This window comes from Homo sapiens, chromosome 8 (genome assembly GCF_000001405.40).
Source record: "Homo sapiens chromosome 8, GRCh38.p14 Primary Assembly".
NCBI classification, from domain to species: domain Eukaryota; kingdom Metazoa; phylum Chordata; class Mammalia; order Primates; family Hominidae; genus Homo; species Homo sapiens.
Window position 1 is genome coordinate 6,480,290 of NC_000008.11, and position 14,080 is coordinate 6,494,369.

The window sequence follows — 14,080 nt, forward strand, 5'->3', positions numbered from 1 at the left end:
AATTTTTGTAGTTTTTAGTAGAGACGGGGTTTCACCATGTTGGCTAGGCTGATCTTGAACTCCTGGTGATCCACCCGCCTCGGCCTCCCAAAGTGCCGGGATTACAGGTGTGAGCCACCGCGCCCAGCCAGGGGCCTGGTTTCTGATGCTGGCTCTGTCCCTACCCAGCCCAGCCACTGTGGGAAGCCATTGACAGCCTGTGGGCTTGTCTTCTCAGCCATTAAAATAGAATTGAGATCTGAAGTTTATTTCCCCAGGTTTCAAAGCATTGATTATAAGTCAGTTAAGATATACGTACCATAACCAAAATCAGTTTCAAATTTTGGCTTTCTAGTTTTATTAGTACTAATATTGAGTGTAACTGCTTTGATGGGCATGTGCAACAAAGTCATTCATTTTGTTAATTTTTCCCCCGATTTGACAGAAAGCAGAATGTCGTCATCCAGGTTGTGGATAAATTGAAAGGCTTTTCAATTGCACCAGACGTCTGTGAGACCACGACTCACGTGCTTTCCGGGAAGCCACTTCGCACCCTGAATGTGCTGCTGGGAATTGCGCGTGGCTGCTGGGTTCTCTCTTATGATTGGGTAAGCCCTGTGTGTGAACTGCGTATTTTAAAACAAGGCATTTTGATAGAGTGGGTCACCCTGAGGTGCCGACATCAGCACTCAGGCCGGCGTGCACCCTTGTGGATCTGCACACTTTCCTGTGAGCTGGGAACACCCGTCTTTCCTCCTGTTGGTCTCCCGTGGGCTGCTACCCTTCAACCAGGGCCAAGTTCTGGGGCAACAGGAGGACGGGGAGGGTAGAGAGCAGGAAGTGAGTAGCCTCTAAGATAAAGCAGAAGCAAGATTACAAAGATGCTGAAAGAAACGCAAGATGCATGTTCTCACAGTCAAAGAGCTTTCCTCTATGTGTGACCAAGAAACATTGTGAGCTGTGGTGGTGGTGGTTTGCAGAGCCAAAATAATTCAGTGATTGTTTGTACAGATGGATTTACTTAGGATGAAGGATGTTCTTTTAATCCCATTTGGATAGGTTTTATCCTATGTATATCTATCTGTAACATTATTTGCCCTTGTTTCTGTAGATTAAAGATAGCTTTTAAAAATACATAATTATTTTCGTTATTCATAAAAACTGAAATGAACTGTTATTGGTTCTATTATTACTTTCATCCTCAACCTAAGGTTGCTCCAAAGCATTCCTTTCTGGTGACAGTAGCATCACTTGTTACGTATGTTACCATTCTGCATCTGTGGTATCCGTCTTCCCTCCTCCTCTCCCAAGAATGTATTCTATTCATACTCATACTGTGTTCATTTAAACCAGTAGAATTATAACATGCAAAAGCTACACATGTATTTTCAAGAATGGCCGTCGTCTTTTTTCCGTGTTGTGACAGAGGTTAAAGAGATTAGTGCTTCTAGTTGTGAAGTGGAAAACGTTGAAATTCCAAAAGTAAGCACTGTTCATTTGCATTGGTGGCAATGGGGGATCACCTTACCTGATTATATATTAGTACTGCTTTATGTTTATTTGGATGAAAGACAGTAGTGCCCCTCTCATCCAGGGTTTTGTTTTGTGTAGTTTCAGGTACCATGGTCTGAAAATATTAAATGGGAAATCCCAGAAAATAACAATTTATAAGTCTTTAAATGCATTCTTTTCTGACTAGCATGAAGAAATCTCAGGTTATCTGGCTCCATTCTCCCTGGGATGTGAATCGTCCTTCAGTCCAGCCTGTGCATGGAGTAGGTGCTGCTTGCCCTCACTTAGTAGCCATCTTGGTTATCAGATAGAATCTCGTGATTTTGCAGTGTTTGTCTTCAAGGAACCCTTATTTGGCCTAATAATGTTCCCCAAGCACAAGAGTATTGATGCTGACAACTTTGATATGCCAAAGAGGAGCTCCAAGGTGCTTTCTTTAAGTGAAAAGGTGAACGTTGTCCACTTAATATGGAAAGAAAAATGGTATGCTGACGTAGCTAAAATCTATGGAAAAAATGACTCTTTGACCTGTGAAATTGTGAAGAAGGAGAAAAAACTGTGCATACTATATATATAGGGTTCAGAACTATCCACAGTTTTAGGCATCCCCCAGGGGGCCACGGACTGTGCCCCCTTTGGATAGGGTGGACTACTGTCTCTTTAATAACTCTAGCATCAGTGAATGAGTTCTGTGTTTTATTTCTCTCCAATTCAAATCGTCTCTGTGTCTTCATCTGACTACTCTCCCTTCCCTCAGGTTTTGGAGGAAAAAATGTTATTTCTAAGGATATGCATCTGTACAGGATTCCTTACCCAACTTATTCTTCTGGGACTTGGAGCAGTCCATAGAGGTCAGACGTGAGAACGTACTGCCTTTGCTGTCGACATGGATAGAGACCTGCTCCCTGGTTGTCTGCATGTCTCTGCTCAGTGTTCTGCTAGTACTCCACAGCTAATCATACATAGAAACAGAACTGGGTGAAATTTTAGGTTATTGTATCTCTTCTGGGATTACCTGATATGATAAAGGTGGGCATTAAAACACATTATTTAATAAACTTCTCACCTTTAGTCTAGACTCCTTGCCTGGAGGGAAGAACCTGGGGCACTCAGACACATAAGTGAATGAATGAGGTACAAGGCAATCAGACAAGAAAAGATAATAAAAGGCATGTAGGTTAGAAAGGAAGAAATAGAGTTATCTCTATTTATAAACCACACAATTTTCTATGTAGACAAGTCACAAGCAATCTACAAAACAGCAATTAGAGGTGACAGCTGAGTTGAGCAAGTCATCCAGATGCAAGAATTCCATTGAAACTTCAGTATAAAGCTAATAAAATAAGTGCAGGATCTGTGTGCTGAAAACTACAAAATACTGATTTTAAAGCTCAAAGAACTAAATATATTAAAAGACATACAATGTTCATGGATTAGAAGACATAGTACAGTGAACATGTCACTTCTTCCCAAAATGATGTATAGATTTAACACATTCTCATTCAAAATCTCAGTGGACTCTTTCAAGATACAGACAAACTGGTTCTAAAATTTCTATGGAGATATTAAGGAGCCAGAATAGCCAAAACAATTTAGAAAGGAAAGAACAAGGAGGAGGACTGGCACTACCTGCTTTTGGGGCATCCTTTCAAGCTGTGGTCCTCAAGGCAGTGTGGTATTGGTGGACACACAGAACAGACAGAGAATCCAGAAATAGACCCCCAAAATACATCCCATGGGTTTTCACAAAGGCATGAAGGCAATTCAGTGGAGAAATTCAGTCTTTTGAACAAGTGGTGCTGGAGCAGTTGGACATACACAATCAAGAAAAGGAACCTTCCCAACACTTTGGGTGGATCACCTGAGGTCAGGAATTGGAGATCAGCCTGGCCAACATGGTGAAACCCCGTCTCTACCAAAAATAAAAAAACTAGCTCGGCATGGTGGCACCTGCCTGTAATCCCAGCTACTCAGGAGGCTGAGGCACAAGAATCACTTAAACCGGTGAGATGGAGGTTGCAAAGAGCCAATACCATGCCACTGCACTGCAGCCTGGGTGACAGAGAGACACCCTGTCAAAGAAAAGAAAAGAAAAGGAGAGGAGAGGAGGAAGGAAGGGAGAACCTCATTCTATACCTTACACGAGCCACAAAAATTACCTCCAAATGGATCATAGACAAAATTTAAAGGTATAAAACTTCTATAAGTAAACATACAAGAAAAATGATCTTGGTGTAGGCAAAGAGTTCTTAGATACACCAAAAGCATGATGAATAACAGAAAACATAGATAAGTTAGATTTCATCAAAATTGAAAGCTTTTACTCTGTGAAAGATATTATGAAGAGATCAGAAGAAAACGTTTGCAAATCTTATATCTGACAAAAGATTTATGTCTGGAATATATAAAGAACTCTTAATACTGAACAATAAGAAAACAGAACAGCTCAAACAAAAAATGGCAAAGAAAAGATTTGAATAGACAGTTTACTGAGGACACACAGATGGCAAATAAGCATCTAAAAAGATGCTCATCATTATTGCTCACTTCAGAAATATAGTGAGATCCACTACATATCCATTAGAATGGCTAAAAGAAAAAATAACAGTCGCACTCTAGCAAGGAGCCAGGGCAGCTGGAACGGCTGCTGGTGTGTGTGGGAAGTGGTCCAGCCGCTTTGAGAAACAGTTTGACAGTTTCACAGAAAGCTAAATGTCCACTCAGCAGTCCCACTCCCAGATATTTGCCTCGGAGAAATGAAAGCTTGTGTTCACACAGAGTCTGTACGCGAATATTTGTAGCAGCCTTACTTATCATCAGCTGGACCTGGAAACAGCACAGCTGTCCCTCCAGTGGGTGAATGGATCAACCAGCTGGACCAACCATACTGTGGAGTGTCACTCAGGAGTCGAAAGGAATGGTGATAGGTACAGCAGCTTGCATGACTCTCAGGGGCATCATGCCAAGTTGAATAGCTGGTCTCAGAAGGTCACATGCTGTATAAGGCCATTTCTTTGTCATTCTAGACAAGGCCAAACTATAGGGAAGGAGAACAGATGAGTGGTTGCCGCGCATTAAGGTGGGAGTAGCATCTGCCTCTGCAGAACAATAGCAGCTGTCACATCTTTGGGGCATTGGAATTGTGCTGTGTTGTTAGTGGCAATGGTTACAGAATCCATGTATTAAAACACAGAGAACTGTACACACATATGCACACACGAGTAAATCTTATTGTTTCTAAATTTAAATTAAGAAGAATATCTAGGCGGGGTGCAGTGGCTCATGCCTGTAATCCCAGCACTTTTGGAGGCCGAGGCGTGTGGATCACGAGGTCAGCAGTTCAAGACCAGCCTGGCCAAGATGGTGAAACTCCGTCTCTACTAAAAATAGAAAAATTAGCTGGGCACGGTGGCAGGTGCCTATAATCCCAGCTACTCAGGAGGCTGAGGCAGGAGAATCGCTTGAACTTGGAGGGAGGAGGTTGCAGTGAGCCGAGATCACGCCACTGCACTCCAGCCTGGGTGACAGAGTGAGACTCTGTCTCAAAAAAAAAAAAGTATATCTTACATATCTAACGTGCTTTCCAAATGGAGATGTTTGAGCACTGGTAGGACCGGGCTAGTGTCTTGGTTTCAGAACTAGGTTTCCTTCTGTGTGCTGAAGTTTACAGGCTCCTGTACCTTCAACTGCTGCCTCTGTACCTATACTTCCTGTTAGCACTGAAGCTTCATCCCAGCTTTTCTATCTTAAAAAAAAAATGAAAAGAATTTAAAAACATAACTTTCTCTAAATTGCTCTTTGCCCTCTGTGCTACCTTTTTTTCCCCTCATTCATGGCAAAACGTCACAAATGTATGTCTGTATTGCCCTTGCCTTACTGATGATGTCGCTATTTGTTAATAGTATCAACTCTTGGGAGATTGCGAAGGCTCAGGTGGCCTATGGCTTCAGGTGAAATATCTGTTTGTGTGATTACAAGGTAACCATGATGGCAGTCAGGTATATCACACATATATAAATGACACAAACAGATATAAATATATGTTTGTGTGATTACAAGGTAAACGCAATGGTAACCGCAATGGTAACCACGATGACTCTCGCTGGCACAACAGGAGTATTGATGTTCACAGGTTGCTCCTGACTTGCACCCTCAAAAAGTTTAGAAACAAGCCGAGTCACTTTCTCTGTTCATCTCAGTCTTCAAGAAGACAAAGATGACTGCTGCTTCTTGCATGGCCCCCCTCCTTTAACTTTTAAATAAATTGAATAGTACAAACATAAGAAATTTGAGAGAGGATAGTTGCCACCACCATTTACAAAGCCATTCTACATAATTTTTAAAGCTTAGCACCCACTTTAATATTTATCTATGTCTTGCATATAACTTCAGATATAAACTTCACAGTTCCAATTTCTTTTAGGGTCAAGATTTAAAGTATCCATATCATATATTATATACATTGACTTTGTGTACAAGGAATCTCTCTCTCTCTCTCTCTCTCTCTCTCTCTCTGGCACTCTCGCTCTCTCGCTCTCTCGTCCTCCTCCTTCTAACCCTGTCTCCAATGTAGTTGGGGGATTCTTAAAATATTCTCTTTGGCTAGCAGTATAAACTGGCCTCCAAGAAAAACACTGCTGAGCATGTTTTTATTTCAGGGTTTGTGTGGTATTCTCTGGAAATTTCTTGTAAAGGAGATTTGTAGCAGTTCTTCAGAATTAGATGGTTGTATGTGGCCCAGCTAGTCTTATCAGAAACTGTGGCGATTTTATAACAAAGTTCAGTTTGAATTTTGACTTAATATTTTTGAGAAGTTTATTGGCAATTTTTCCATGTTTACAGCAGTTCACACCTCCAGTGTTAGCGCTACTGTTTTCAGGAAAGAGAATAATTTATGTTTTTCCTCCTTCATGACTGAATTGTCTGGCAGATACATGGAAATAGAAAACCATGCCAGGAGTTGCCGAGCTTCCTATTTATGGGAGACAGGAAGTAACACAACAGAAAAATAAAGAAATTAATTTGACCAAAGTGTCCCTTTAGACTCACATTGTTTTGTTATGTGTTGTTCAAGCATAGCACAATTTGAACCTTTAAATACTCTTTATCCCACTCTCACTTAATTTGATGATTCCTGCACTTTCCTGTGACTTGTCTAAAATTCTACTTTCCCTCGAAACCCTTTTGTGGATGCTAACATACAAGCAGAGTGTCCTGTGATTCAGTCTTCCCTTTTTCCAGCTACCACTCCGTGTCACTCTGTCCAGCACAGTGAGGAATAACTCAGCCTGTATTCAGATTTTAATATTTTGATTCTGAACAGCTTATGAAAAGGATCTGATAATAGAGATTTAAAGCTAATTCACTTATAAATACAAGTGTAGGGCTTAAAAGCTAAATCAGCTTTACAACAAAATGTCAAGGCCGCTAACTATCAACAGATAATCTAGTGTTTTCTTAATCAAAAATGATTTCATGATGACTATTTTCTTGAGATAATGTGATCCACATTGAACTTAGTAAGCAGTGAGTCAGATGAGATATGTTTTTATCAGTGGTGAGCATAGAATCAATGAACTGTTAGAATAACACACTCAGTTCATTCCGTTCACGCCTCTCATTTTACATTAAAGAAATGCTGAGCCGCTCTCCTAAAATTATAACTCATGGGAGAACCAGAACTGGAATCTCAGCTTTTCACTGGTGTTAGTTCATCACCCTGCATTCCTAAGTCTGTTCAAAAGGGATCATCTTGAAAAACCATTCTCTTTTTAACTTTCAGTTGGCAGATTAACTTCATAACTCATGTTAGGAAGAATCTTCAGGGACATTGTACTTGGTGTGTCACACTGACACTGAGTTTCTGAGGGTGCCCTTCAGGTCTCTCTGGCAGACATTTATTGCTCGCACTTGCAAGCTGACTAGGATCTCAGGCCTGGGTCTCTGAACTTTCACGGCTTGATTTCAAAGTCCTTTTTATCCTGCTACAGATTATACCTTGGTAAAGGACTTTATACTTCACAGAGTGTTTTCACATGCACTGTCTCACTGGATCCTGACAGAACATTTTTGCAGCCGAGAAGGACGCTGCAAATAATTAGTGAATTTAGTGATGGAGACTCTGGGCAAAAATAGCTTGTCTGACTTGAACGTGGATCTTAGAAACACATCTCTGTCAAGGCATTGTTTTAAGGCAGTGACTATGGTCTTACATTTATCTCCAGGACACCTAATTTATACTTTTTCCTGATTAAAATAATGGATTCTGGTTTTGCCCAGACATAGAACCCACAGAGTTTGTCTGCTTCTTTCACTTGAGGTGGTTCCTGAGCAGTGCCAGAGCTCATTCTCTGCGGAGGCTCCTGCAGGCTGCGGCAGCGTGGCCTCTGGCCGCTGGGAGCATGGGAAGCAGGCGCTGCGGTCTAGGTCCTCCATCCCCCTGTCTGCTGCTCCTGGCAAGACCCCAAGGTGCGCATTTCCCAGGTTGGAGCCGCTGTGCTTCCCAGGACCATAATCTGCTGATTGAGGACAGATACCAAAAAGTGATTCATCTGTAAAATTGAGGGCTGTGGTGCTGCCCTCTAGGAGGACATTTGGAAAGATGTGGAGAAACCTGTGAGTGCTAAGAATGACTGATGTTAAAGTTTGAAAGAGTCAAAGTGATTTTTTTAGTGGGAGAAGACTGTGGAGTCACCCTGAGATGCAACCACAGGCTTGATTAGAAATAAAGTTTGATCACCATTTTCAAATTTTTACATTAATATTTTTTAATTTTCGAAAGGTGCTAAACAGAATCTACTTAATGCACCTGGCACAGAAAAGGCAGTGCCCGGGTCCTAAGGCTGCACCTTTGCAAGAAAGAGAAATACCTGAGGCACCGGGAGTGAGGAGGACAGGTGTTGGAGAAGGCTGTAGGGCCCCAGTATGGCTGTGTAGTTCAAGACGAGGGATGCAGAAGCCATCGGACTATTTTAATTACAGAGTGGCAGCTTTTGTCTCTGTGGCCTCTCAGCAAAGAATGGATTGCAGGGAGGTAAGAACAGGGTGAGAAGCAGGAGGCAGCTAGGGTCATCGAGGTGAAAAATGACTGCGGCTGTGTCTAGAGGGGGGGTTGATAGGTGGAGAGGAGAGAGCAGGTCGGCGCCCTTCCTAGGAAGATCTAGTGGAATCTGTAACGTCAGGTGTGTGGGAATGGAGAAGTCAAGAAGACTCCCACCCAAATTTTTTCCTGGGGCGACTAACTATAGATAATGGTGCCATTTGCAGAGTTAGGGAATTCTGGGGCAGAAGATTGTGTGCAAGGTTTGGGGTACAATAAAAAATTGATGTAGGCATATTAGGTCTGAGATTCCTACTGGACATTCAAATAGAGATACTACATATCAGATTATATATATGTACAAATATTCAGAGGAAAGGTTAACTATTCACTCCAGCCATGGTACCTGGAAGGGAGTGTGAATGAAGAAATGAAGAAAACAGTGAGTTTAGGTTTGATCTCTGGGCTGTGCCCCTATGCAGAAGTCAGGGGGAAGGGGGAGGCAGGGGGACCCGGGAACGGCTAGCTAGCAACCTGGGGGAGACACCAGGGGAACATGGCATCAGTCAGAAGGGGGACTGTCTCAGGAAGGAAGGATGCTCAGCTGTGCTGAGTGCTGCTGGAAGGTGAATAAGAGGAGACAGAAGCCACTGTTTGATTTCTTCAGGTGGATGTTGTCAGAGACCTTGAAAAAAGCAGGATGAATCCAATGACTAAGACAGTTGAAGAGTCAATGGTACATAAAGCAGTGGAAGCACTAGGGTTATGTGTAATGGTGCGATTTGCTGAGTTAGGGATTATTATCAGACATATTGCTGATATGTTATTCCTAGACATAATGCTGCTGCTACATCAGAGAGATTGGTTGGCAGCGAATGGGGCACTGTGAAGTGTGACTCGAGCCTTCTCGTGTTGCCAACTGCAACACAGATCATCGTCCTAGTGCTTGGCGATGTGGTTGCATTATGGTGAGTTGAGTGTGGCCTTGGGAAGCATCTGAATCTGTTGGCTGAGTTATCAGGGAAAAAAAATTTAAAAAGTAAACTAAGATTATGTATATTAATGAAAAAGTTGCTGTATTTGGCAAATACTTTAAATGGATAAGGCTAAAAACCAACAAGTCGAGAGGGTACTTGTTGCCACCCATCCTTTTCCAAATCATGGCCTTCAAGGATCACACTGTTGGTCTTTCCTTTTCTTTTAACTTGGATCAACTGTGAAGTAACACAGGTCTTCAGTGTAGATCTCAGTTCCCCAACATTTGCCTTATGACTGAGACCTCCAGGACGTCAACTTGGTCCATGCTGAACTGCAGCACAAATTCCAAGCTTTGACCATACCTCAAGGTGCACTTTAACCTTTGCAGTGTTCTGCCAGACATCTGAACTTTCACTTTTGTTTCTGACATCTCAATCACACAGTTCTCACTGTAAATATTAAATAATAGCACAGAATATTTTAACTTCAGGTATTCATTGGAAAATTCAACCATGGTTTGGTTTTATCTGTCACTTCAAAAACTGTCTTCAGCTGTCCATCATTTAGATGTCATTTAGATGTTCCTCAGGGACTTTGGGGACATTGTTAACAATCTGTTATTTCAAGGCTTCTAAACTCTATCCCCAAGTTAAAATGATTTCCAAGGAACATCATACTTCTCTTACAGTCTGTGTGTAAGCACCCTCTGTGAATTCGGTTTTAGGGACAATGTTAGCTTTTGAAGAGAGCTGATGTAAGAAATACTAGATTTTAGGAAACTGTTGTACTTTTTTCAAAGCTATATTTGACGACATTGTACATTTTGCTACCTGATACTTTTGATGTATGATCCACCTAATGCCTTTCTCCTAAAATTAATTTCCAATGAATTGAATAGGAATTCCAAATGAAATGAATTTCATAGGAAAATCTCATACAGAAAATTTGTTAGGCTGTCCTTAACCAGAGAATGAGAATTATGTAATGCGGTTTTGTCAGCTAGAGTAACAGCTTGCCATAGGTTCATAATAGAGCTGTTTTTTAGTTCTTTTTCTTGGGTTCTTGTTTCTGAAAGAAAGTTTCTCTGCCAGAATATTGAAGTTGTGCCTAAGTTAATAATTTAACAAGCATTGTATATATTAATAATATAATATCAATAATGCTATTAATCATTAATAACAATTATTTAATATTAATATTAAATACTTAATATTAAATTTTTAGAATATTAAAATTTAAAATTTAAAAAATAAAATTTATCAAAAAAAATTTTTTTTTTACTTTTGAAGCATTGGTTTTATTAAACTTTCAAAGTAGTATGGCAAAAAGGTGGCCACATACCAAATAGTGTCATACATTTCTTAAAATCTCTCCTAGCAAATAAACTTAAATTGAGATCATGAGTCAGTTGAAAAGACAATTTAATTTTTTTGCCATACAATTAAAGTATTTCTGAGAAGTCAGAGTGCTTTGCAATGTTTGGTGAATAATTTACACAATTCCAGAATAATGTCTCACTTATGGAGAATACACCTACCACTTACTTCGATAAACAGAAGTAGAGTCTATGGTTTCTTTCTTTTTTTTTTTTTTTTTAGCTGCTAAAGATTATTATTAGGACAGAAGGACAATTAGCTTTAAAAGCATTGCTCAGAACATGTATTTTTTTTTCTAGTATTCTTTTTTTTTTATTATACTTTAAGTTCTAGGGTACATGTGCACAACATGCAGGTTTGTTACATATGTATGCATGTGCCATGCTGGTGTGCTGCACTCATTAACTCGTCATTTAGCATTAGGTATATCTCCTAATGCTATCCCTCCCCACTCCCCCGACCCCACAACAGGCCCTGGTGTGTGATGTTCCCCTTCCTGTGTCCATGTCTTCTCATTGTTCAATTCCCACCTATGAGTGAGAACATGCGGTGTTTGGTTTTTTTGTCCTTGTGATAGTTTGCTGAGAATGATGGTTTCCAGCTTCATCCATGTCCCTACAAAGGACATGAACTCATCATATTTTATGGCTGCATAGTAGTCCATGGTGTATATGTGCCACATTTTCTTAATCCAGTCTATCATTGTTGGACATTTGGGTTGGTTCCAAGTCTTTGCTATTGTAAATAGTGCCACAGTAAACACACGTGTGCATGTGTCTTTATAGCAGCATGATTTATAGTCCTTTGGGTATATACCCAGTAATGGGATGGCTGGATCAAATGGTATTTCTAGTTCTAGATCCCTGAGGAATCGCCACACTGACTTCCACAATGGTTGAACTAGTTTACAGTCCCACTAGCAATGTAAAAGTGTTCCTATTTCTCCACATCCTCTCCAGCACCTGTTGTTTCCTGACTTTTTAATGATCGCCATTCTAACTGGTGTGTGATGGTATCTCATTGTGGTTTTAATTTGCATTTCTCTGATGGCCAGTGATGATGCGCATGTTTTCATGTGTCTGTTGGCTGCATAAATGTCTTCTTTTGAGAAGTGTCTGTTCATATCCTTCGCCCACTTGTTGATGGGGTTGTTTTTTTCTTGTAAATTTGTTAGAGTTCTTTGTAGATTCTGGATATTAGCCCTTTGTCAGATGAGTAGATTGCAAAAATTTTCTCACATTCTGTAGGTTGCCTGTTCACTCTGATGGTAGTTTCTTTTGCTGTGCAGAAGCTCTTTAGTTTAATTAGATCCCATTTATCAATTTTGGCTTTTGTTGCCATTGCATTTGGTGTTTTAGACATGAAGTCCTTGTCCATGCCTGTGTCCTGAATATTATTGCCAAGGTTTTCTATGCTATAGAAATAGCATATTTCTATGCTATTCATCATTAATAACAATTATTTAATAATATTAATATTAAATAGTTAATATTAAATTTTTAGAATATTAAAATTTAAAATTTTTTTAAAAATAAATATTTTATATTAAATTATCAAATAAATATTAATAATAATTATTTAATATTATAAAATTAATAATCTTTCATTATTGAATTATTGATTGAGTTAAGTAATTAATTGATTAACTGATAAGGATTATTGTTAAATTATTGTACTCTTGGGTAGTACAGAGACTGCATACTGCGCTTTGCCATGTAAATACTATTGTCTACTTCCTGGTACGTGGCTCTAGGGAGGCTATGGCAGAGTCAAGTGCTTTTGCCCTTAATGTGAACAAAAAATAGTGATTGCTCTTAGTAGCCATAATATTTGGTTTATTGTCTGTGTTGGTAATAATTTCTGCTGTGTTTTCATACAGTGAAGTGATGTTTCTGCTGTTTATTTTAGTTGCATTGGAATTTGTTATATTTATTTCTTTGTTTTCCTTTTGATAAGAGAAGTACGCACTTAGTTATTTATAAAGATGTTTGGACTTCACATGTGAGTACAGTGGTGACATGCTGGGTTTTCCTGGTCATTGCTTAGCTGTATTTATAAAGTGAATATTACTGAGCAGTTAAGCCTTAACATCGAGAATCACCCATTTTCATTTTTGAAAACTGGAAAGGATTAGGTAGAATGCAAGGAGAATAAATTGAACTTAAATGTTTGTGTTCAATTGAGGTGAGCTTTTTCATAAGAATATTCAAGCCTAGGTCAACATGCAGCTTGTTTTCCCTCTCACCACCTGGAATTCAGTCTCTATCGGTCAATGTCTTCTAAAAGGGAAATGGGTTCTTAACTATATACTTTTAGTACTTTATTGCTTATCTTCCCTTTCTTGGTTGAATAGGCTGTGTTAGATATTTAGCTTCCTGCCCCTTTCTTTATGAGACAGCTAGAGCAGTGCTTTTCAAAACCTTACTAATGTGTGGATCACCTGGGGGATCTTACTGAAGTGCAGATCCTGGTTCAGTGGGTCTGGGTCTGCTCAGGCTTGAGGTGAGGTCCACGCTGCTAGTCCTGTGACCCAGCATTAGGTCCCCAGGATACAAAATATGACCGGGGATCTCTGTCGTATTCGGGGGTGGAGATGAGACAGCGTCCCAATGATGTTAGTCACATGGAACATTTAGAGATGCGGAGCTACTTTGTCAGTGTTTTACACATCGTCAAGCTGTTAGTCAAGACAGTAATCCTCTGTGGAAACTGTGGCTTGAACACTTTCAGTAAATTGCTCATGGTCATAGTGCTTGGAAATAGTAAATTTTTTTTTTTTTTCTTTGAGACAGAGTTTCGCTCTGTTGCCCAGGCTGGAGTGCAGTGGCACGATCTTGGCTCACTGCAACATCTGTCTCCCAGGCTCAAGCAATTCTTGTGCCTCAGCCTCTTGAGTAGCTGGGATTACAGGTGCATGCCACCACACCTGGCTAATTTTTATTTTTTGTAGAGACAGAGTTTCACCGTGTTGTCCAGGCTGGTCTCAAACTCCTGACCTCAAGTGATCCGCCGACCTTGGCCTCCCAAGGAACTGGGATTACAGATGTGAGCCACTGCATCCTGCCAGAAATGGTGAATTTTGAATTTGAATTCAGCTCTTCCTCAATTCATAGCCCACATTCTTTCTAGCATCTACTTCCAAAGATAGCCTAGAGAGTATTTTTTATCTTCTATAGCTGTAAACCTTGATATGGGC

The 14,080-nt window shown here is 40.2% G+C and overlaps 1 protein-coding gene across 14 annotated transcripts in view; it reads left to right on the top strand.

The window, feature by feature from the left end:
- The window catches only part of MCPH1 (microcephalin 1), a 241,882-nt gene that overhangs the window by 73,663 nt on the left and 154,139 nt on the right, over positions 1 to 14,080 (top strand). For 11 of the 14 annotated variants that reach the window (NM_001322042.2, NM_024596.5, XM_017013833.3 and 8 more), the window contains exon 11: positions 425 to 587. The exons of the other annotated variants lie outside the window; for them this stretch is intronic. In NM_001322042.2, coding sequence (NP_001308971.2) covers positions 425 to 587 — 163 coding nt within the window. The remainder of the gene's footprint in view (positions 1 to 424; positions 588 to 14,080) is intronic. 14 annotated transcript variants of the gene reach the window in all.